Raw genomic sequence first — 24,111 nt, 5'->3', positions numbered from 1 at the left:
TTAAACAACGGGGGTTAATTTTCTCACATCTGGAAGCTGGTAGTCCAAGAACAAGGTTCCAGCCAGTTCGGTGTCTGGTGAGGCTCTCTTCCTGACTTGCAGAGAGTCACCTTCTCACTTTCCTCAGTGCATGCTCAGTTTGGGGTGTGGGGTAGGGAGCACTCTCTGGTGCCTCTTCTTACAAGGACACTAATCCTATGGGATCAGAGCCCCAACTTTATGGCCTCAATTAATTTTATTTACTTCCTTAGAGCCTCCGTCTCCAAATACAGCCACACTGGGGGTTAGGGCTTCAACATATGAATTTGAGGGAAGCATAAACATTCAATCCATAACAGGTATCTTGCATTAGTTGTTTGTGTGTGCATCTTATTTCCCCTTCTAAGTCCTAAGCTTTCCAAGGACAGCATCTGTGTCTTGTATATTCAATGATACCATTCATATAATAGGTACTCAGCAAATATTTGTTGGATGAATTTGCCAACAAAGTCTCCACCACCCTCTTCTGCATCATCTGAACCCCAATAGTCACCTGAACGGCGCTGGGGCTTTTTACTTCAGTGCCTTTCCCATTATGCACCTTCTCTGTTCACCTGGAATGCAGGAGTTAGCTCATCCAATACTTCTTTTAGAAACTCTATCTGATTCTGTCAAGTACATTGAGGGATTCTCATCAGCCTGGTGAGCACCTGCATCTCTGTATTTATTGCTCATATGCAATATATGATCCATCTCTTCAGGGGAGTTCCTTAAGAGCAGAGATTGGGGCTTTTTATTCTTGTGTACCCAGCGCCTGGCATGTTGCTTGACAGCGAATAATAGCACAATTAAATACTCATTGAAAGAAGGAGTGAATAAAAACAGGAAGTTTAAAAAAGATTTTCCTATCATTCCTATAACCTACTTGAAATTGCCTTTTAAAAGCAAATTTATTATAACATTTCAGACAATTACTTTACATGGATGTTCACAAGATATTCTTATTTCAGATCCCATGACAATGGGAAAAATGATTAGTATACAGAGAAGATGAAAGAAGGGAAATTGGAGATGTATATTGAATTTGAAAAGAAAATTTTCCAGTAACAGTAGCTCCTTGCCATTCCTGAGAAATATGTTACAAAACCATCATAAATACTCAAGTTCACTTATTCCAGTGCAGCATGTAGTTTTCATCCAGAAGATTGTGGGTAAAATATATGTGACTCCATCAGCTCCATAACAGTTCTATTAAGAGTAACCATAAAGGATAATATTAACACTTGTGCTAGGCACTCTGCTAAGCCCGATTAACATATTCCCATTTAATGTCCATGACTATCATGAAAGGCCAAAATGATTATTATTCCCATTTTCCAGTTGAAGAAACTGAGATCGGAAGAGGTCAAGTAACTTGCCCAAGAACATGAAGCTTATACATAGCAAGGGTGACCAACCATCTCAGTTTGTCCAGGATATGGAACTTTTGGTGCTAAAAAGTCACCATGTAGGTGACAGAGGATGAGTTAAAAGCCAGTGTCTGATGTCAGATCTTGATCTATTGAATATCTGTTTGGTAAATATTTCAGCTACCATGTTTATAAACTAAGATGAAATTTTTGAAGAGGTCGGTTCAAAAGTACTATATAGCATTGTAAGGTATACAAGTTTACATGCTGAGACTGGAAGTTCCCTGAGGGCAGGGACTCTGTCTTGTTTCTCCTCCTTTATTTCATGGTCCCAATATGAGACCGTGCATAGAGCAAGTGTTTAAGAAGAACTTATTCAATGTGAAGTTCTTTCCCTACCATCAAAAGACAAAAACCCCAACCCATCACTCGGCTCATGTGCCATACTCCATTTCTGTTCTTTCTCTCTCTCGACTTTTCTCCCAATGTGCACACTCAAATTGCTGCTTTTCTCCTCATTATTCCCCCAGGTTCCCCAGCTTCTCAGCTACACTGGAGAACATAGCCCCCAGAGCATGATTCCACCCTCGCTTTGCCCCTTTCCTTTTTAACTCTGTCCTATAAACTCCCTTTCAAGTCCTAGCTTCTGCTTTGCCCTCCCAGACTCCTCTAATGGGGAATTATTTATTTGGTGTGCCCACTCTGGGTGCCAGAAACTTCATGGCAATTGCCAAGTAGCGTGCAGGTCAATACATGATGATGTCTTTGTGTTTTCCCTTATTTAGGACTTTGTGACTGATTAGTCAACATGTCAGACTACTAGTTGTCCAAGATCCATTTCCCCTTCTCCCACTGGATTAGAATGTTTATTAGGGTGCGTGGCTGCTCTGAATCAGGACTGTGCTTCCCAGTCACATTGCATGGCCATGTGACTAAGTCCCGGTCAGTGGGAGGTTAGCAGAAGTGCCTGTCCTGTGATAACTTCCACGTCCTTTCCTTGAGAGACCTGGAGTGCACCCTTTACCTCTTTCTTCACCATTTTCTCTCTCCTGGAACATAAATGCCTTGGACTATGAGAGCAAGGGCCACACTGCAGAGATGGCGAGATAGAGATCTAGAAAGTTCCTGGGTCCCTGACCCAATGGGACCCAATATTGGCCCTTGATTTGCCTGCCCAGACTTTTATATAAAAAATACACAAGCTTTTCTCTTATTTAAGCCACAGTCTTATTTTACCTTCCAGTTAGCTGCAGTTTTAATCTCCACTAAAATAGTTGAGAATGATGGAGGATGCTGCGTGAGATGGAGTATGTGTTCCCTTGTGTTCAATTGCACAGAGGAAACAGAGGCATTGACAGCTCCGGGGTTAAAGTTGTAGAGACAGAAAAACAAAAGACCTCGGGATAGCCATGAGATTGTCTGCTTCCCATCTTTGGTTTGGTGTCATCTTCTCATGCCCTGTACCCCTCGCTGTCCCATGTTCCCCAATGCCTTGTGTTGGAATGGCCATGTCTGGGTTTTTATTCCAACTGCAGATGGCGTCTTCAGCTGTTATCACACAGTTTACATGTTAGGTGGAAATTCTCCACCAACTCCTTGTCTCTAACCCTGGCTATCCCCATTCCTACCAGTCAGCATGCGTCATGACCATCAGATGCTGGAACTGAGAAGACTTACCCTTTGCGACACAGTTCACTGAGTGTATATGCGAGGAGCAATTTCTCTGGCTGAGCCCCTCTCCATTCTCCACTGGCACTCTGCTGCACTTCCAAGCTACATTACAGCAGAAGATAAGATGTTTGTAGCTCCTGATTTTTTAATGTTTCCCCTTGGGAAAGAAGCAACTTCCAAGGTAAATACTACCTGAAAAGGCCTTCTGAAGATGCTGCAGTAAAAAAAAAATCTGCCCTCCATCCACCAAATCATCCTGGACTGGTGGATTCTGTTCCAAGCCCATGTAAGTGACCCAAGTTCCAGATGACAATAGCCTGGCCTCTAGGAGTATTGAGTACACAGCCAAGTGAGCTGCCTCTGAGTCAGGGCTTGGATCCTGACTATTATCCTGTCTCTCATTTCTCCTCTCTTGGGCACATGCTGTCTCTTACCCTTTATAATATAAAGCTTATATTAGCTTTAACCAGTAGTTTGTTATGTAAAATGTTCCACATGACAGCTCAGCTTTGCCCTAATTCCCCCATTTCCTGCAACCTCTTAAAGATCTTTCTTAATGTCCTTGCTCTGTAATCCATTAATTTCTATTTTATGAGTCGAGACTTCCCTTGATATTTCTTTGCCACTAATCTTCCTTCCCCCTTCTTTCTTGGTCTTTTTTTTCCCCTTGTCTTGACATCCTCTTTATCAAGCTCTGCTCCATATTTGATCCAAACCTCTCTTGCTTTCATTGAGGTCCGTTGCTCAACATTTCATCCTCCTTGGAAATGAACAAAGCAAATGATCAGGATGGCCTTCCCAGAAACAAACCAAAAGCCAAGGAAAATTTTCTTCCTAAAGCCTGAGCTCAGGGTGAGACCCAGCTGAAAATGCCCACCTTACTTTCTCATACCTTTTTCCTTCCATTGCCTCCCATGAACTCCATGACCCTCTTTGTCCCTCTCTCCTGGTGCCAATAATGTGGATCGAATTTAATCAGGTTCTCCCTTCACCTCCCCTACTGTGCATTGAGCTCTGTGTAAACAGGCATCATGTCTTGTACTTTTTTCTCCTTGGGGCCAAACAGTTCCTGGCACATAGTAGGCTTGGCATAAACTTTGAATTATTAGATACTGTAAGCCACTCAGCTTTCTTTGTTTTAAATCAATAATCTTACAGTTACGAAGTAATAAGCTGATAAATGGAACTTCAGCAAAATTAAAAACTTCTGCTCTTTTTCTTAAGAAAATGAAAAAAAGGAAAACAAGGCACTCACTTGGAGGAAATATAGAACTTGTGTCCAAATATTTGAAGAACTTCCAAAAATCAATAATAAGAAAACAACCCAATAAAAAAAACTGAGCAAACTATTTGAATAGAGGCTTTACCAAAGAAGATGTATGGACGGAAAACAAATACATGAAAAGATGCTCATCATCATTAGTAACTAGGGAAATGCAAATTAAAACCATAATAAGATACTACTGTTTATTAGAGTGGGTAAAACTAAAACACTGTCGGTGACTATGGGAAAGAACCAGAGCCCTCACACACAGTGGTGGGTATATAAAATGGCACAATCACATTGGAAAACAGTTTGTAAATTTCTTGGAAAGCCAATCATACACACACCATATGACCCAGCCATTCAGTCTTCGGTATTCACCCAAGAGAAATTAAAACACATGTTTTTACAAAACTTGTAAACTAATGTTCATAGCAGCTTTATTAACTATAGCCCCAAACTGGGAAAAATCCAAATGTCAATCAACAGATGAATGGTATATCTTTACAATGATATATCTTCATAATGGCATACTACTCAGTAATAAAAAGGAATGAATAATTGATACACACCATGACCTGGATGAATCTTAAAATAATTATGAGGATTAAAATAAGCTAGACAAAAGTGTATATTCACTCAATGATCCATTTGTATACAATTCTAGGATATGCAAACTAATCTGTAGTCACAGTGCTTCAGTGGTTGAGGGGGCGGGGTTAGGAGGGCTATGGAAGAGCCAGAGGAAACTTTGGCGGGAGAGCAGTGGAAATATTCACTATCTTGATGGCTTTACAGTGTGTACGTTTGTCAAAATTTATCAAATTATTTACTCTAAATCTGTGTAGCTTACTGTGTGGCAATTTTACCCCCAAAAAAACTGTTTAAATAAAAAAAAAGGTAAGTAAATAAGTAAATGCTTTTGGTTACTGTCATGCATTCTTGAAATTTCATTTGTTTTTCTTGGAATCTTCTCTAGTCTATCCACATTTTTATCCATAAAATAAAGGTACTACTCACAGAGCTAGAGTCAAGGGGCAGATTCAGTCTTTTGTGAAACTAGTGGAAGGGTTTCTTGACTTTGCTATTAAAGAATGTGTCTGGGAAGACGTATTATTGTGGACATGTATCCCTCATGTTTTCCTCAACTGTCCTGTTTTAGCCACAGTTAGGAACAGGAAGGTGGAAGGGAGGGAGCCCCAAGGCTTATTTTGAGAGCCTAGGTGCTTGTAATAAATGCACGAATGATTCTGATAAACAGAGATCGCTATGAAGTCATAGCCTAGAACAAGTAAATTGCTGAAAACAAGGAGAGCCACCTCTATGACTTCTTGGCCCCATCTTGGGGCCAGGTAACAAAGATGAATGACCATCATCCAACTCTCTGGGTGCTGGGTGTGGCCGAGGGGTCAGCTCTAACACAGAATTGCAGAGGCACGTGTGAAGGAGATCGAGAAGGGACTCTCCTTTTGTAACACAACGGGCTGAGTGCTTACAGTGGGAGCATGAACACAGAGTGGAGGGAACCTGGGACAGGCAGGGATGGCAGTGAAGATGGCATCTGCTATGAGTGTTGACAGTGAGTAGGGTTGATAGGGAGGGGTTGCTTTCTGGGCAGAAGGAATAGCATGGCAGCAATGAACGGTGCAATGATGAACCCTGGCGAGCAAGGCAAGGTGGCTGGAGAGGGAAGGGGTTCAGGAGTGGGAAGGTCTTCCTATGCCTCTGTGCAGCCTCTGGGGGTGGGAGGTCCCTCCGCTGGTAAGTGGGAGGAGCCTGTCCCATGTGAAGCCCTGCCCATGAACCACACTGCGAGGACCACTCAAGGCTACCTGGAGGCTGCTTCTCTAGTCACTGGCATTTGACCGGGGGGGCCTTTGCCAACAAACAGTGACAGCAGACTCAGAAGATGGAAGGAAATCTATGTGGAAGGAGGAGTGTTTGTAAATGAAACAGTGTGACAAGTGCCAATAACTGAAGTCTGTTTGCAGGGACTTCTGTCCCAGCCATCCTCTCTGAGGTCTGGTGATGGGATTACATGTAAACATGTCTCCAGTCCTAGGGCTGCTGCTGACTCGTTTCATGAATTTGAATAAGCCAAGGAACTGCAGATCCTGCCTTCTCATAGGTGAAGTGGGAATTGTAGGGTAGTGAGGAGAAAAGAGAGACTCACAGTGGCTATAATTTGTAAGTTACTGGTGGTAGGGACTTTCCTCCCCACTCTGTCCCTTACCCCTGAACACACCTGGGCAGGCACAGTTTGTACTTCAGAGTGGATTATTTCTGATTCTACCTAAGCTGAGGTCGATACATGTCTGGTGAGTGACTTGCAGGAGGCCTTGCAAAGACAGCCCCAGCCAGTCATCAGATTGCAGTAAGCCAGACAGGGATCTGAATGGAGTTATGTTGCTAAAGGGCACATCAGTGTGGGCTAAAAGTCAAGGAAGACTTCCTGGAGGGGATGGGAATATAGCTGGGCCCTGAGAAGGGGTGGAGAATAGGGGAAAAGGGAAATGGAACAGGATCCATGAAAAGCAGGCAGGAGGTTGGCCCAGAAGGGTATGTGCCAAGCATGGGTCATCAACTGAATCAATGGATCAGTGAGTGAACAAATGAATGAAGCCTCCTTTGGAGGCCCTTGAAGACTTTACTGAGTTGAATAATGCCCCCCCCACAAAAACAATGCCCAGCTAGACTGTGTGAATGTAACCTTATTTGGAATAAAGGTTTTTGTAGATATAACTAAGGTAAGGATGAGATCATCCTGGATTATCCAGGTGGGCTCCAAATGCAATGACAATCCAATGTTCTCTTAAGAAAAAGAGGAGAGAAGACAAAACAATGGAGAGAAGGTCATGTGAGGATGGAGGCAGAGGTCAGGTGATGCAGCTGCAAGCTAAGGATGCCAAGGATGGCCAGCAACCTCAGAAGCCAGGAGAGAGGCCTGGAGCCTTCTCTCACAGAGCCTCCTGAAGGAGCCAGCCCTGCTAACACCTTGATTTTAGACTTATGGCCCCCAGAAGTGTACGAGAATACACTTCTGTTGTTTTAAGCCACACTGCTGTTGGTCATTCATTACAGCAGCTGCAGGAATCTCACACGAAGACCATGCCGTGCAGTTGAGATTTATCTTGCAGAAAGCAGGGAGCCATTGAAGGTGTTTGAGCTCCAAGCTGAGGGAGTTGTGTTCTGAGATTGTATGTGGAATGGACTGCTCCCAGGCTCTGAATGAGCCAAGAAAAGCTGGAGGCCAGATCAAGGGTACCTCTCAGAGCCATGAAGCCGTACTGATTACATGTCAAGCATGATCCCCTTCATCTGCTCCCTAGGCTCTGATCAGGGTGTGTTTTTTTTTTTCATGCCAAAACTGAAAATAGCACAAAAGTTACAGAGGCAGGCGTGAAGGAGATCTGGAATGGCATTTTCCTTTCCTTTTCCCCCAATCCCTGTATGGTTAAAATGGCATCCCCGCCTGCAGGCCCAGCTCTTAGGGAACAGGGGGAAGGAGGACCTGTGATCTGGCTAACTTAGGGGACCAGACCCTCTGAGATCCAGGCCCAGCAAGAGAGACATCCCCATCCCCATGGCCTTCTTGTCTACTTTGAGCTTCCTTTGGCTGTTTGAATGCCTTGTAAATGTGTCTGCATCTTCCCACTTCCCCATGCACTCATGGTTTCTTCTTCCCAGCACCCTCTCTCCACTGGCTTCTGTGTTGATATGGCCTCAGACCAATGCTGCTAGCAGGTAGATGGCCTAGGTGGCCCTGGTTACAGCAGTGTGGGTCTCTCTAAAAGAGCTTTGAGCTGGACTCCAGAGAGCACAGGTCAGTCAGATCCAATCAGACGGGCATAGGGAGGAGTGGGGGTGCTACATGGGCAAAGGAATTTCTATGTCCTTCCGGACGCTTATCTGATCATTCTTTCCTCCTCTGTTGCTCTAGGGTATGTGGATCATTAACAAAATACAGCAGCAATTCTCAACCAGGGGTGATTTTGCTCCCCCAGGGGATATTTATCAATGTCTAGAGACATTTTTAGATGTCACAACTTGAAGTTTGCTACTGGAGTCTAGTGCGTAGAGGCCAGAGATGCTGTTGAAGATCCTACAGTGCACAGGACGGCCCTCACAAGAATTTTTCAACCCAATATGTCAACAGTGCCAAGGTTGAGAAACCCATACACAGTAAGGCCTTATTGACCAGAAGTTGAGAAACAGCAGTTATAAAGACCATGCATGTGACTCCAGATAAGAGGTGAGATGTTTCTTCCCATGGACACACAGTTGTTGTGAAAAATATTACAGATAAGAGCCCTGAAGATTCACCAGAAATGACAGCTAAGAGCAGAAAATGTGGGATGATTATTTGTTAATACGACTGCGAAGGAGTTAACTATGGCCAGTGCTGTGGTCTGAATGTGTTACCCTTAAATTCATATGTTGAAACTTGATCACCAGTGTGATGGTATTAAGAGGTAGGGCCTTTAGGAAATGATTAAGTCATGAGGGCAGATCCTTCATGAATGGGATTAATGACCTCATAAAAGAGGTCTAGGGAGCTATCTGTCCCTTTGTCCTTCCATCCCTTCTGCCATGTGAGAACACAGCTGCATCCTCTTCAGAGGGTGCAGCCATAAGACACCCTCTTGGAAGCAGAGAGCAGCCTTCGCCAGACACTGAATCTGCTAGTGCCTTGATTTTGGACTTCCCAGCCTCTAGAACTGTGAGCAATACACTTCCGTTCTTTGTAAATTACTCAGTCTAAGGTGTTTTGTTATAGCAGCAGGAGTGGAACAAGACAGCCACTGTTTAAGAACAGAATGTCTTCTAGAAATAACTGATATGTGCACAGTACTTAATAGCTTTTATGGAGTGCTTTGTTACATCTGATCAAAAACATTGAAAACACTTTTTAACCAAAATAGCAACATCAACAACAAAACCCACAGGCTGTGGCATGTAAAAGTTTAGTTAAATTTTGCTGGAAAATAACTCAGACAAATGTTATATAAATATATTGCAGTTTTCTGCATTGTTAGGTGACAGAAATGACTGCATAAAATCATTTTGTTTACTTCAAAAACTTGTATTTATTGTGTTCTCTGGCAAGTAATGCAGGATATTAATGGGGATGCTGCATAATACATGCAAGAGAAAAAAAGGAAGAAACCCATCATTTACATATCTGGAGAGAAATGCTGCTACCATCTTGATGAATAAAATCAATACCTTTATTATACATGGCTATCAATTACACATATATCTTGTGATGCTTCAATATATACATATATGTATATATACATATATAAACATCTTCCCACCTAAGTATTCATATACAACACCACATCAGTTTTGATGGCTGAATGGCAGTGCTATACTTTGTAACCATTTTTATTGTAGTCAATGGTGTGGTGAACATCAGGTGTTGTCTTTAGATAATGTAAACTTGACAGACAGACTGCCATTTGAGAAAGGCTTTTGGTGGCATTTTTATTGTTGTTCTTGGCAAGAACATCCCAAGTCCGTCCTGCATTCTGTGTGCCCTGTCACTGGATAAGAGTCTTCCTGGGTGTGATGGTTAATTTTATGTGTCAACTTAGTTGGATCGAGATATGTGGTCACATATTATTCTGGATGTTCCTGTGAGGGTGTTTCGGATCATATTTACATTTAAACTGGTGGATTTTGAGTAAAACAGACCACCCTCCATAATGTGGGTGGGCCTTATCCAATCAGTTGAAGGCCTGGGTAGAATGGAAGACTGATCTCCAGGGAGAACTATACCAGCAGAGGCCTTGGTTCTTCCTCTACAACATTGCCTCTTCCTTCCTCCCCAGCAGACTGCCTGTGGACTCAAACTGTCAACCTTTCCTGAGTCTCCTGCCTACTGACCTCCCCGATCAGATTTTGGACTCAGAATCACATTAGCCAATTCCCTAAAATAAATCTGGTTCTATATACCCACACGTGCTATTGCTTCTCTTTTTCTGAAGTGCTCTGACTAATGCACTGGGTAAAGACCCCTCCTCTTTGTCTTGGCTCCCTTTATTGGGCTGTGGCTCTTAGGAAGAGCAGGTCTGCAAGGCTGGCCAGCCCCATATTCATGGCACTGTTCACAAAAGGATGGTTTTCTTGCTCAACGGTAGTCATGGGATCCTGGTGTCAACAAAGTCACTGGTGTGTGCTGAGACTTACCCCCACGCTGGTCATCTCACTTAAATTATGTCACTGACAGTGAGTGGACCATTCATTTTCCAGGTGGAGGGACAGGCTTAAGAAACAAATGGCATAAGAAAGATTGTGGGCAACAAAGCTGCCTTGTCCTGCTCCCTGTCTGATGATCTACATGCCACACCAGCCACCATGATGCATTTGGGTGATGCTATTGTCTCCTGAAACATCCACAGAGGGGAGTCCTGGGTATGGTGGGCCAGAAACCTTGCCACAGAGGACAGTGCAGATAGTTGAAGGGACTGGAGCTATTTGGCTTAAAGAAGACAGGTATAGAACAGTGGGTAATGTTTTCACCAATAGGCTCTTTACAGGATTGGGATTTGGTTTATGGGTTGCAGGAGGCAGATATGGGCGCAGTGGGTAGAAGCCATAGGAAGGAGATTTCACATCATGATAAGCTGTTTTGGGCAGGTCATGAGCTTCCTTTGATAGGAGGAATGTAAGAGAGACAGTTTGCAGAAAAAAAATCCAGCCTGAATTAGACAAGATTATCTTTCACTTCCTTTCCAGCCCTGGATTCTGTGACTTCACAGATATAGCCTGGGTACAGAAGAAGCTACCCCTCCCTGACCAAGTTGGATAATGAATAATTAAACAGCCACTATGGAAAGGAATGCAATTACCCAAGCTGTTGCTAAGGCAAGAGGGCCATCTTGGGCCAGGCAGTCACCGGGTTCCTGGTTCTAGGCCACTGGGACACGGGATGCCCACTTGCCCACAGGTGCTTCTGTAAACAAGGCTCCGCTTGGCTTGTGGGCCAAATGGCCTGTGCCTTATGATCCGTGGGCCTCCAGGCACCCAGAGTATGCACACATTTACAGTGCTGCCATGCTCCAGCCAAGTGGCCAAGTAATTGATGACAAGGCCCTGAATGTCAGGAATTAAACTGAGAAAACTTCTCCCTGAAACTGGTTTGAGCTCATTGCAGCTTAACTCTCAAGCGCCAGCAGGTCCTAAGAGGATCCTTCTCCATCAGTTCAGGGGCGAGAGGCTCTGAGACAAGGTATACAATTGACCTGAGAGGGCCCAGCCTGGCTCCCACTTCCCAGGGACTGGAGGGCTCCTACATAAATGGCTCAATCCCTGCTGCCTGCTTTGGAGATGATTTCCAACTGTTTCCCACTCCTAGGAACACTGGTAGATAAGAGTGGTTAGAAAGTGTAGACTTTTCTTTCTTCCAAATGCCTTGGACACCTGGGAATCTGAAATTTCAGGAGGGCAGAGGACTGGTGTAGTGACAGCATGTGTGAGAATGCCTTCGGTTTGTTGTCTGGGGCCAGCTCAGGATCGATGTGATTGATGTTCTGTGGCAGTCCAAAGAGCTCTCACTGCACGGGACATCAGCAGTGTCCAGGGAGAGGGCAGGGACAGCCCTTTGCTGTTCTGCTCTGATGGATGCACCTGTGCTATTTTGTTTTTCTCCGGGCTTGTGAAGCAGGAGAAAGATGGAGCCGACCCAGTTTGGTGGAGCTGCAGGAATGGCCCAGGGCTGAGCTTTGTAACAGGGGTGAGAGATGGCCAGCGACAAGGGGATGTTTAGCACTAACAGTAAATATATGGGAGAATGTGAGAGCACTTTTCACACCTCTGAACAGCTGTCAGGAAGAAAAGAGGAGTATTCAATTCTGTGTGGCCCTGGGGGCCAAAAAGCAGAAGTTAAGAGAGAGTGAGTTGACTTCTTATGAAGAAGTTCAGCAGTTATATTTCCAAATGTGCAGCTGCCTCAGGAAACAGTGAGCTCCTCACACTTGCAGGCATGCGAAGTGTGGCCAACAGACAGAATTACATGTTAGATTGGTGATGTGGGGGAGGTATTGCCAAGATCAACACTAAAGCTCATCTGGATGTGAGGGGCTGGATTATAAATACCTTTCTAGGTGTCCATTTCAGTGAGCTACTGCCACAAAAAGGCTGAGTAACAAACCATCAGATATTCTCAGCCATGTATGACAAAGAACTGATTTGGTTCATGTGTCTGCAGGTTGGCTGGGGCAGCTGGTCCAGGCTGGATTGGCTAAGAGTAGCTCTGTATCATATGATCCTCATCCTCCTCCTGGGACCAGTCAATAAGCCTGGGTTTATTTGTCTCATTGTGATGGCAGAGGAGCAAGAATGCAAGCAGAAGAGTGCACGGCCTCTGGTGACACCATCGCCTCTGCCCACTGCCCAAAGCAAGTCCCATGGCTGAACGCAAAGAGACAAGGAAGCCTGACCCACTCATGGACACAGGGAAGGGCAAAAAAATTAGGTCCAATACTGTGGTCTACCACATGGCTATTATGTCAGTTTTGTTGCACACACATCCACAAAATAGGTTTGCAAAGACAGGAGTAAGTGGGAAGCTTCCAAGCAAACAACATTGTTTCAAAAGCAGGCTCATAAAGAAACCAGTGCTCTCTGTAGAATGCATAAGTTTTGGTTGTGTTAATCTTTGCTGGGCACAGCATCAGCACTTTGGCTTTTATGCTGTACCTAAAAATTTATAACTTACCTGGGAAATGACTGAGGCATCATTCAGCCCAAATATTGTCTTATTTCACAGTCTGAAAATCCAGGGCCCAGAAAGGAGAAATGGCTTGCCCAAGCTTACCCTGCCTAGATCCAGCTCTCAACTCAATGTTCCTTCTCTTCCCCTGCAGTGCCAGAGGTCAGCTGGGCTTGCTACACCTCTGAGACAAAGTACAGGAACTAAAGGTGAATGGAAATCAAATGTAAATGAAGCTTAGGATGACTACATATTTGGTTGTTATGAGAATTTGAGAAGATGACAAATTTGTAATACCTGGCATATAGTAGCTATGCAATGCCCGATGGATAGTGCCAATATTAATCAATAAAGTACAGTGGCTGGTCAGAGGCAGGAAAGGTGGCATGGTAGGGGGAGCAGGAACTAACACTGGCTTTGGGAAGACTTTCTCCAGGAGCCAGGACAGGAGGGTATGGTTTGTAGGTGGCCTGTGGGGTCACGTGGCTTTCTCTGCCCTCTTTGAGACTGGCTCTGATTGTGTGCATTGGCTGGAAACAATGTGGTCCTAAACAAGATGAGGTAGATTTTGTCTGAGTGGAAGGACTGATGAGCTGAGTGCCAGTGCAGCCTGACCCAACAAGCAGGCGGTAGGAAGGGCCTTGCCCACAGCACCACTCACATTTGCTACCTCCCTAGAGAGGGCAGAATCCCCACCGGCCACATCCCAAGAAGTGGCTTCTGTGAAACTATTAGTTACATGTTTTCTAGGCCTTGCCAGTGATTCTCCAGCACATCTCATGTCCTGAGTGTTATGCAAGTTGGGGTGAGACTGTGGAGCGTGCCCTCAGGACACCCACAGTCTGCCAGGGCACAGAAAACTGCCCAGTCCTGAGGTCAAACCCATGGCTCCTGGGTTGCAAGGACACAGAAAAGCAATTTGTTTGTTCAATTTCACAATTTCCTAAGTTCTTTCAAAGCAGAGATCATGTTTTTTTCCCCAGCACCTAGCAGGGTGTCCAGCACACAAAAGCTCTCTATAAATGTTGGTCAAATGAATGGGCATTGGATTGGTCTGAGAGGTTACTAAAGTCTTTATGGAGGAGACGAAACGTGACCCGGGCTGTAATGGATGAGACTGAACTCCTCAATGGTCAATTACTTTGGATATATACATGCTTTCCCTGCACTCAGTGCTTCTGCCAAAACTACCATGCATGGACTTAGAGACAACCTTATTCTTTATCGTGGTATTCCACACAGTTGCTTCTGGTCAAGGAACTCATCTCACAGCGAGTGAAGTACAGACATGAGCACTCACTTGCAGAATTCACTGGTCTTGCCATGTTTCTGCCATTTTGAAGCAGCTGGCTTGATATTAGGTTGGTGCAAAAGTAATTGCGGTTATTGCCAAAAAGTAATTGAGGTTTTTGCCATTAAAAGTAATGGCAAAATTACTCTAAATCAGCATCCAATACATGGTGCTGTTTCTTCCATTGCCGAGATTCATGGGTCCAGGGATCAAGGAGTAGAAATGGGAGTACTAGGAAATGGGACTATAATGGGAGTAAGGGGTGCTACCCCAACTCCTTGATCTCCAGATCCTCTAAGAGATTCTCCTTGATCCTTAGTGATTCTCTAGCATAGTCTTTGCTTTCTATCTCTGCCCCTTTATACTCTGTTGACCTAGAAGTCTTAGTTCCAGAGGGAGAAATGCTTCCATCAGGAGTCATAACAATGATCCCATTGAACTGGAAGTTAAGATGGTCTCTCAGCTACCTTGGGCTCCTCATGCCTCTGAATCAACAGGCAGAAGGGGAGTTACAGGGCTGGCTGGGTGATGGGCCCTGACTGCCAAGGGGCAACTGGGTTGCTACCACACAGTAGGGGTTAGGAAGAGTATGTCTGGAACACAGGAGATCCCTTGGGACGTCTCTTAGTATTACCATGTCCTGGAATCAAAGTCAATGGAAAACTACGACACTCAATTCAGACAGGACTGCTAACAGCCCAGATCCTTCAGGAATAAATATTTGGGTCACTTCACCAGGCAAAGAACCATGACTAGCTGGGGTGCTTGCTGAGGACAAAGGAAATGGGTGATGGAAGAAGTTATAAAGAGCAGCTAAGATCATGTAACCGGTTGCAGAAGTGGGGACTATAATTATGAGTATTCTTCCTTATTTTGTCATAAATATATCTTTGTGTGTTTATATACATGTATTAATTAAATGATTTTGTTTTCTTCTCTCTTATCCTCTTATCATTACACGTATATATTAATAGTAGTTAGGTTTATGTCATAGTATTTAAGTTACAGGATATCACGAGAGAAGAGTGGGCATCACCCAAGTACATCACATTCTCTTCTGCAGAAGGGTTAGCACGTTTTCAGTTGTATGCAGGACAGTTGTGTTATGTTGGATGGGAGTATGACTTTGTTATTATCTTTACTGGGAGATTAAGCCTGGGTTCAGGATATGCGTTTAGATTCCAAGTTGACAAGGAGTATATTGTTTTATGTGATGGTCAGTTTTGTGTGCCAGCTTGGCTAGGTTACTGTCCTCAGTTATTCAATCAAATACTAATCTAGGTGCTGCTATGAAAGCCTTCGTAGATGTGATTAAAGTCCATAGTCAGTTGACTTTAAGTAAGGGAGATTATGCTAGGCAGTCTGGGTGGGCCTGGTTCAATCAGTTTAAAGACCTTAAGAAGAGAGCTAAGTCTTCCCAGAAGAAGAAGAAATTATGTCTCTGGCTAATCCAATTCTGGAGGTTGGCTAGACAACTCTAAAATCTGTAGTCCAGAGACAGAATTCCTGGATAGCCTGTCCTACAGATTTTAGAGTTGTCTAGCCAACCTCCAGAATTGGATTAGCCATTTCTTTGCAATAAATGTTTTAATATGTCTCTCCTACTGATTTTCTTTCTCTGGTTGAACCCTACTGATACAGAATACATGGAGCTCAGCCAGTGTAAGGTGCTGGGGAGAAAGGCATGAGATATTATGGAGTGGGTCACAGAGACCAAAAAATGCAGACAAATGAAGGACACTCTGTCCAGTTAGGCCAGGACAGTCAGTACCTAACAGTAGGTAATAGTTGGACAGAGCAGTGTAATGCTTTAGGATTAGAATGCCAGGCTGGGGGGTTAAAGCTCAATGTCGTGGGTGGTGGAAGCCATTAAAGCCTTTCACACTGGTATGGACTGATAAAAATCTAGACCTCAGAAAGATTCATCTGGCTCTTTAGCCATGATGGGCTGGAGCTGAGAAAAACTGAAAGCAGGGAGGAGCCCTTTCATTGGCTGTGTTCTAGAAGGAGCATTAAATGGCACATGCAGGAGTTTAACTGAGACTCACTCACAAGAAGCAACTTTGTGCATCTCTAATGAAGGGAGGTGGAGGCAAAGATGTAGGATGATGGCAGCACATTGACTCAAGAATGGAGATGGGACAATGTGGGGAGATTGAAACTTCACATGGTAGATTAGATGTTTGCTCTCAAGTCTTCCTCGCTTCTGTGTATAAGAACACATATCCATGCTCTTTGTCATGAGACTTCTGCAGTTCCTACTAGAGATGGAGTCTATTCCTCTGATCCATATCATTGGGATGACTTTATTTGACCAACAGAGTGTAGGTAGAAGTGATAACATGCTAGTTCTGAGCCAAGGCTTCAAAAGGCTTCAAATTTCCACTCATTATTGTGTGCTTCCTTGATTTGCAATAAGAGACTTCTAGGCTCTAGCTTGAGTTACAGATTGAACACATGTTAAGCCACTTGCATTCCAATCCTCATCCTGGAGCCAACCTCAGCCAACCAGCATTCCAAAGGAGGCCTGTCCAGCCAAGTCCAGCCTGGGTCACCCAATTCTCTGTTAATCTGCAGACCCATGAACATGAGGTTATATCCTTGCTATTGTAAGCCCCTGAGTTCCAGGGTGGTTTGTTACATAGCACTGTTGTGGCCATTACTGACTAATGCATCCTGTCCTTTGTATTAAGAGAGTGTGGCTGCCTCCACCAACATGGTGCATTCTCCCATAGTGATGGTGGTCTGTGATGACTCAAGAACTCCTGGATCCATGGGAAGAATCCATTCAGCTGTGGACCAGAGTTAGGGGTGAGGTTTGAGAAGCCGAAGGGGAGTAGAAAGAACACTGTACTGGGAATCAGGAGACCCAAGTTGCAGACTCAGACCTGCCATGAATACTCTAAGTGACCTTTGGCTGATAACTTTCCCTCTCTGGGCCTCCGTTCCATAACCTATGAAACATGGCAGTCACACTAAATGCCTCCTGGTTTAACTGCCTCCCCAGTTCAGATATTAGAAGCTCGAGTTTATTGAGTGACTATATTAGGTATTACAGTGTTTCACATCAGAATTCCTTTCCTATAGCTGATAAAAATGTTTAACCTCACTTTCAAACTCTCAAACATTGGTTGTGGTCATCCAGAGCTGCCTTGAGAAAGAGACCAAGTCTGTGTCCAAGCTTGGCAAGAACGAGTGGCGTGGTTGATGGCCCCAGGGGTTAGGGAGTGGGGGCCCTGTGATTTGGCCCCCTGAGGTAACTGCTGTCCACCGGGACAGGTGCGTGCAGTGTATGTGACTGTCATGCTTGTGGGTTGCCTGTTTAACAGCTATCCCTGTGTAGCTGAGGCAGATACCCTTGGCTGTTCCTGGCACTGAGAGCTTTCTGCCCAGTTTCAGCACACCTGACACCCAGGAGCAGATTCTCTGCTATCTTACAGTAATCACGAAAGCAAGAAAAATGTGGTTTCCTTGGACTTCTCAGAAGGTACCTGGGAAGCAGGCTGTGTGCATTGCTCACTTCAAGTCCCTTGCAGCTTCCCATGGAAGCCCTTGTAATATGATTACCACTCTGTTTCCCTGAGACCTACAGCTGTGATGGGTTGTGTGAGCACCCACAGTCCTCTCAAAGGCTCAGGAGAGCAGCACAGCCCTGTCCTGGAGACACTCAGTCCCAGCTCCAGATCTGCAGCTCCTTGTGTGGTCTTGGGAGGTAAGAGCCAGGAGGATGGACATGGGCTCTGGGGTCTGTTATGGCTGCTCCAAAATGTTCAGTTTCTGTGGAAAAGAAGTTCAGATAGTAGAAGTCTTAGAATTAGGGGCTGAGGCAAGCCTAGAGTCTTTGAGTTATGAGTGACAGAAAAGCTAAGCCAAACTGATTTAATAAAACCAAAAACATTTTGGTTCATATAGCTAAAAATAACAAGGATAGGATTTGGCTGCAGGTTTGGCTGGATCCAGGGTTCAGACACCACCACTTAATAGTAACACATCCAACACTCCCTTCATATCTTGACTGTTTTCCCAAGTAGTGGCTCTGCTCTCAGGTAAAATTCCTCCATATGGTGGCTGCTGGCAGGTCCAGAACTCCTTATCTTCTAAAACAAAGACCAGGAGGGAGAGACCTTTATATTTCTCCCTTTTTGTGTAGTAAAAGTTCCAGGGTGGTATTTTGTTGGATTGTGTAGGTCCTCTGTCCATCCTAAACCAATCACTGTGACCAGGAATGAGACTCAATCCCTAAGCCAGGGTTGACCCATTTCATTGCTAAACACGTGGACAGAGAATGGGAAAAGGGTTATGAAAAAACAAGGGCATGGCTGCTGGAAAGATAACAACTGCAGATATCCATGCCACGAGACAAGGTCTGTGTTTCTTAGCTGACAGCTGACCCAGCCAGGAGACATTCCTGAGGCTAGGAAAAGCAACAAACAAAAAACACCCAGTCACTCATTATCTGGTGCAAAAACACCAGCCAACATGTATCTGGGTGTTTCCTATGTGTTCAGCACAGTCCTAGGTAACTTTTAGAATTAAAAAAAGAAAAGTGGCAAATTGCAACACCCCAGTCTTTAGGGACATGCAATGTAGCTGAGGAGAGAAAAATGAATACCAAACAGTGAATGAAATTGACTGATTGAGGTCGAAAGTGTTTGGGTCACACCAGTGCTCTGGAAAATGTGGAACTGAGAAATAGAGGGGATTATTGTACCTGAACAGTGAAGACAAGAGCCCCAGTGGAGAGACTGGGTTTGAATGGACACAAGGAGAAAGGTAGAGTTCCGGGCATGGGGCTGGAGGCTGGGAGGTGTCAGGATGACTCACTCAGGGGAATCTGGATGCAAAGGGAGCAGGCTAAGCAGATGGGGAAAAGGCAGGGCAGCCAGCATAGGGCCAGAGTCTGAAGAACCCAGACAGACTCCAAGTAAATTAGATTTACTCTGGCAGCAGCAGGGAGCCATGAATGGCTTCAGAGCAGGTGCAGGACACAGCTCTCACCACCAGCTCTGCAAGTTGGCCTGGCACAGCTCAACTTGTGTCCCCAAGGACTCAAGAGTGCCCACATTAAAAGTGTGCATGTTAAAATATCAGATAAAAGGGATAAATACAACGTATATTGCATGATCCCAATTTGGTGGAAAAACATACATGAAGGCGTGACGCTGCCAACCAGTGCACAGTGAGTACTTGTATTTACTGAACACTCCTGGCGCTCACTGCAGAGCACCCTCAGTTAATTAGTTCTCGCCCTATGACTGAGTATTATCTTCCCTATTCACAGCTCCAGGACTAAGTTTTATATGGTACAGGTGAATGGCAGAGGTGGGGTGTGACTCCAGGTGTGTCCAAATCCACGGTAGCCCCTGTGCTGAAATGTTAACCATGATTACGACTCTATGGGTGGATTACAAGAGGTTTCCATTTTCCATTTAAAACTTTTCAGCCAGGCGCGGTGGCTCACGCCTGTAATCCCAGCTCTTTGGGAGGCCGAGGCAGGCAGATCATGCGGTCAGGAGTTCCAGGCCAGCCTGGCCAACGTGGTGAAACCCCGTCTCTACTAAAAATAGAAAAAATTATCCGGGCATGGTGGTGCGCACCTGTAATCCCAGCTACTTGAGAGGCTGAGGCAGGCGAATCGCTTGAACCTAGGAGGCAGAGGTTGCGGTGAGCAGAGATCACACCATTGCAACTCCAGCCTGGGTGACAGAGCAAGACTTAGTCTCAAAAAAAAAAAAAAAAACTTTTCAATAGCTTGAAAATCATCTACTGTGAATATATGTCACTTTTGCCAGTATAAAACAAATATATGTTTAAAAAAAATTCCTCTAGCCTCCGTGCTGTGGGACCTTAGGCTTCCAGAGAAATTACCTATCACAACTAGCATTTAATTCCCCCAGCACTTTCTTTGTAACAAAGCTAGCTCACAAAATGGTAGAAAGAGGCTTTACTCTCAGACTTGCAGTCACTAAGATTGTCACAGCATGTATGCCATTTTTTGCCATTTCCTTTCATTGTAAAATTAATTTTAATTGCATAAATAAAATCAAGATAACTGCTCCTTACAAAATATTATAGATAAGACTAAAGTATTATTTGACCACTGCTCCTCCCATCCAATGGTCACCTGGGAGACAACTAGAAGTATTGATTGGGGTGTGTCCTTCTAGACATTTTCCTAGTATTTACATATATAAATATGTATCCAGAAAAAAAAATACAGACCTATTGCAAGTGTGCTTAACACGATTGCATTTTATTTTATGTATCATTCTGCAACTTGCTTTTTTCATTCACCAGGATGCTACACCCTGTCCTGTGAAGCTATGAAGAACCAAGAAATGTCACGCAAACATTACACACAGGGTGGTTTCCAGGAAGGAGAAGGCCCTCCAACCAAGCACTGTCTGGCCATGCCTGAGCTTTTGTGCAGCCTCTTCAGGCTGGAACAGTGTCTGCGCCAGGCCCAGACATGGTGTGCACTCAGCAGGTGGAAGTTGTTATCCCTGGCCACCATCAGGGAGCTGAAGTCTTTAGTGACTTGAGGAGGGAGTCATGGACACCTGCGTGAAGACCACAGCTCCATCACTTCTTCTCAAACAAGCTCAGTTTGGTATAGAAACATATAAATGGAGCTGAAGAGAGGCCCTTCAATATTCGCTTCATCCAGGGAGTCAGGAGACATACGAGTGGAAGTGAGGTGGCGGGTACCAGCAGATTTGGCCTTTTCTGAAAGAACTGTGCAGGCATGGGAAAGAGTCCTAGCAGATGCAATAATAAATTAATAAAGAGGAGGAAATGGGACCGCATTTAATTTATTTCATTGCATAAGCATGGGGGTCTCCCATGAATCAGATGAATCAGAGAATTGCAGGGGGAGCTCCAAGGGGACAGACACTAACTTCTCATGAGTCCAGGTGGGCAGGGATGTCAACTGGACTTCATCTGATGTAGAAAAAGATACAGATGAATCATCTTGTGTTCTCAGTGTCATGGTCGCTTTCACAATCCCTTTTCATGGTCTCTGGAAAAGAGGCTGCAACAGCCAAAGGATAGAAGGAGAACCCATGGAGGTGAAGCCTGGGCAGAGGGAGGCCCAGAGCTGCCTCCCAAGCTGAGGCAAGAAGAGGCCCAGGGACTTCATGGAAGAAGGCCCCCTCCCTGAGACGCAGGTCCTGCACTTGCATGACCCCCAGAGTGAATGTTGATTTAATGTTTGCACCCTCAGATGGGACCTCCCTTGCACCATCCAAGTCCTTGGACAGAACCCACTCATGACAGGAAGTATGATCAAGTGCAGAAGGGGCTGGCCTAGGGCTCAAACACATCCAGGTTCAATTATCAACTCTGATTCCTCACAGCTGTGTGGTGCTGTAAGCCTCAGTCTTCTCTGAGCCTCAGTTTTCTCTCAGGTAAGTGAGGAATCATAACACCCACGTCACACTCAGTGCACAGGTGCCAAAGAGCCTAATGAAAATGCTCAAAGAATGTTGGTTTCCCTTTTCTTGAAGTCTTTATCCGCACTGATTAGTAACAAGAGGTTCCTGATAGCCCCAGCCCCACACCTGGATTCCTGAGCGGGACCCAGGCTCACAGAGCCCTGCACCATCCTCAGTATCCCCTAGCCTACTGTTCCAGGCCTAGCCGGCCCACCTTCCATCTCATGCCAAAGGGTTAGCTAGCAGGAGATGAGAGAAACTTCTCAAAGGGAGGAAACCTCTCTCTTCTGAGCAGCCTTTTCCTGCTAAATCCGTCCCCACCCTGTTGGGCTGGACACAGTTATTTACTGGGAGATTGCTTTGAGCACATCTGGAGGGATCACTTAGGGTGATGTTGTTTGTTTGTGAGGCTGATACTGTTACTGAGCAATGGGTCCTCCAGGAGCCTGGGTGCTTCCCTGAGCTGCTTGCTCGGGGCCCAACTCTCACATGAGGGGGCACACATCATTCAAATGCACACACTTGCCCCTCTGCGGGCCATGCACTGGGCTTCCAGAATAATTGCTTATACCCAGTCACTTCGCCCAAATGTTTATACAGCTGGGGAGGATGAGAGTGTTGGCGAATAAGATCAGAAACCACAGTTATTGTGAGAATCACTTGGGGAAATAGATGAGAAAGTCTCTTTAAAAAGCCAAATGCTGAGAATGCGGGGTGTGTTGAAGCCGCTCACCCCACCCCAGCCTCTAGTCAGAGAGGCCCTTGGTCTGGGAGACACCTTTTCCCAAACCCATGCCTGACTCCACCCCACCAAGAATGGGCCGCCCCTGTTTGTGCTCCCCACGTCCTCCCTCACTCCTGCCATCTGTGTCACAGTCTGCTGCCAGCTTTTCTTTCTGAACTACCGCCCCTGATAGAGCTCAAACCCCACTAGGGCCCACGGGCCTGTGTCTGATTCATTTCCCTACTCTGGGTGTTAAACATGTGGCCTAAAACTGAGTGAATTCAGTAATTGTTGATTTTTTTAAAAATAGGTAATTTTTTTAAAATAAAAGAGAAAGAGTCCCAACTGAAATACTGGAATAGAATGTCGGGCACTCCCAGTATAGCCCAGCTGGCTTTGTGCTAGCATCACTGGGGCAACTAGAAGCCTGGGAAGGCTCACAGGGTCCCTGTGGGCTTGGTCTTTGGCTTCTGTGAAAGTGGTTCAGTTCCCCCACCATCCATCCACCCAGCCTACGGCTACTACTCTTTTTCCATCTGTGTACTTCTAGTTTCCAAACACTGGTCTTTCCTTGGCCTTTAAACAAACACCCCCTCTCACAAGGCCCATGTGCATGTAGCCCACTCTGCTAATGTGTTTGGGGTGCAAGATGTGCCAACAGCCTCAGATACTGGAGAGACATCTTTGCCGCTGGCATTTCCCCATCGCTAACCTCTTTGGGGTGCAAGGTGTGTCGACAGCCTCAGATACAGGGAAGATGCTCCTTGCTGGTGGGGCATGCCCTGTTGCTAACGTCTTTAGAATGCAAGGCTTGTCGACAGCCTCAGATACCGGGGAGCCGTTCACCCCACCCCAGCCTCTAGTGCTGGTGGCATTTGCCCAGCTCAGCCTAGGGTCCCTGCTCCTCCTCTCTTCTGCCTCAAAGTCTCCACCTGCATGTTCCCCCACATCACCTGCACTCACCTTCCTGATAGTCCTCCTCCTGTAAACTAAAAAGCCTTCTTTAGGGGCTAGAAAATTATACTATCTTTCTCAGAAACATAAAAAAAAAAAAAAATTAAATCCCCTGGGGAGAAGTTCTTCAGTTTTAAGAAACACTGCACCGTTTCCTCCTTGGTGAAGGCAGAGAAAGGGAAGAATGTTTCCAGCACTTTCCGGCACATCTGTAGCCATCACCACGAAAAAAGAGACACTAAGTACGTTTTCCAGTCAGTTGCTCCGCACGAAATTTTCAATCCACCCTCTTCACGCTACTGTCCATCGGAGCCACGCCAAGCTGTGGAAGTTGGACTTTGGATAGTGGTCAGCTGGGGAACGGCCCAGGTCTCACCTTATTGGGCCAGGGATTCCAGACTCAATGTGTCACATAATGACAATCCTTTCAGATGGGCACCCATCGTCAAAACTTTTAGTAGAACTTTCTAGGCTTATCATTCTAAAATATTTGTGTTATGATAATGGCTCTCTTGGCTAAAACTTGAGTAAGTGTGATTTCTTGGGAAGAAGTGGAGAAAAAGTAGCCGAGTATATCTGGTGGCACCAACAGAAACTGCAGCTACACTGAGTCTGGTTAGCTCATAAGAAAAGGGAGTGCATGTCTCCTATCCTGGACATGTGGGAA

The 24,111-nt window shown here is 45.1% G+C and overlaps 1 long non-coding RNA gene across 1 annotated transcript in view; it reads left to right on the top strand.

Moving 5' to 3' along the window:
• The window catches only part of LOC105378379 (uncharacterized), a 112,024-nt gene extending 90,790 nt beyond the window's left edge, over positions 1-21,234 (top strand). The window contains exons 4-5 of the long non-coding RNA XR_946100.2: positions 8,264-8,575; positions 20,628-21,234. This is a non-coding gene — a long non-coding RNA (uncharacterized LOC105378379). The remainder of the gene's footprint in view (positions 1-8,263; positions 8,576-20,627) is intronic.
• The last annotated feature ends 2,877 nt before the right edge of the window (positions 21,235-24,111 follow it).

The sequence above is a fragment of the Homo sapiens genome, chromosome 10 (genome assembly GCF_000001405.40).
Source record: "Homo sapiens chromosome 10, GRCh38.p14 Primary Assembly".
Classification (NCBI taxonomy): domain Eukaryota; kingdom Metazoa; phylum Chordata; class Mammalia; order Primates; family Hominidae; genus Homo; species Homo sapiens.
The sequence above is the reverse complement of the archived record's forward strand: the minus strand, read 5'-3'. Positions and strand labels throughout refer to the sequence as shown.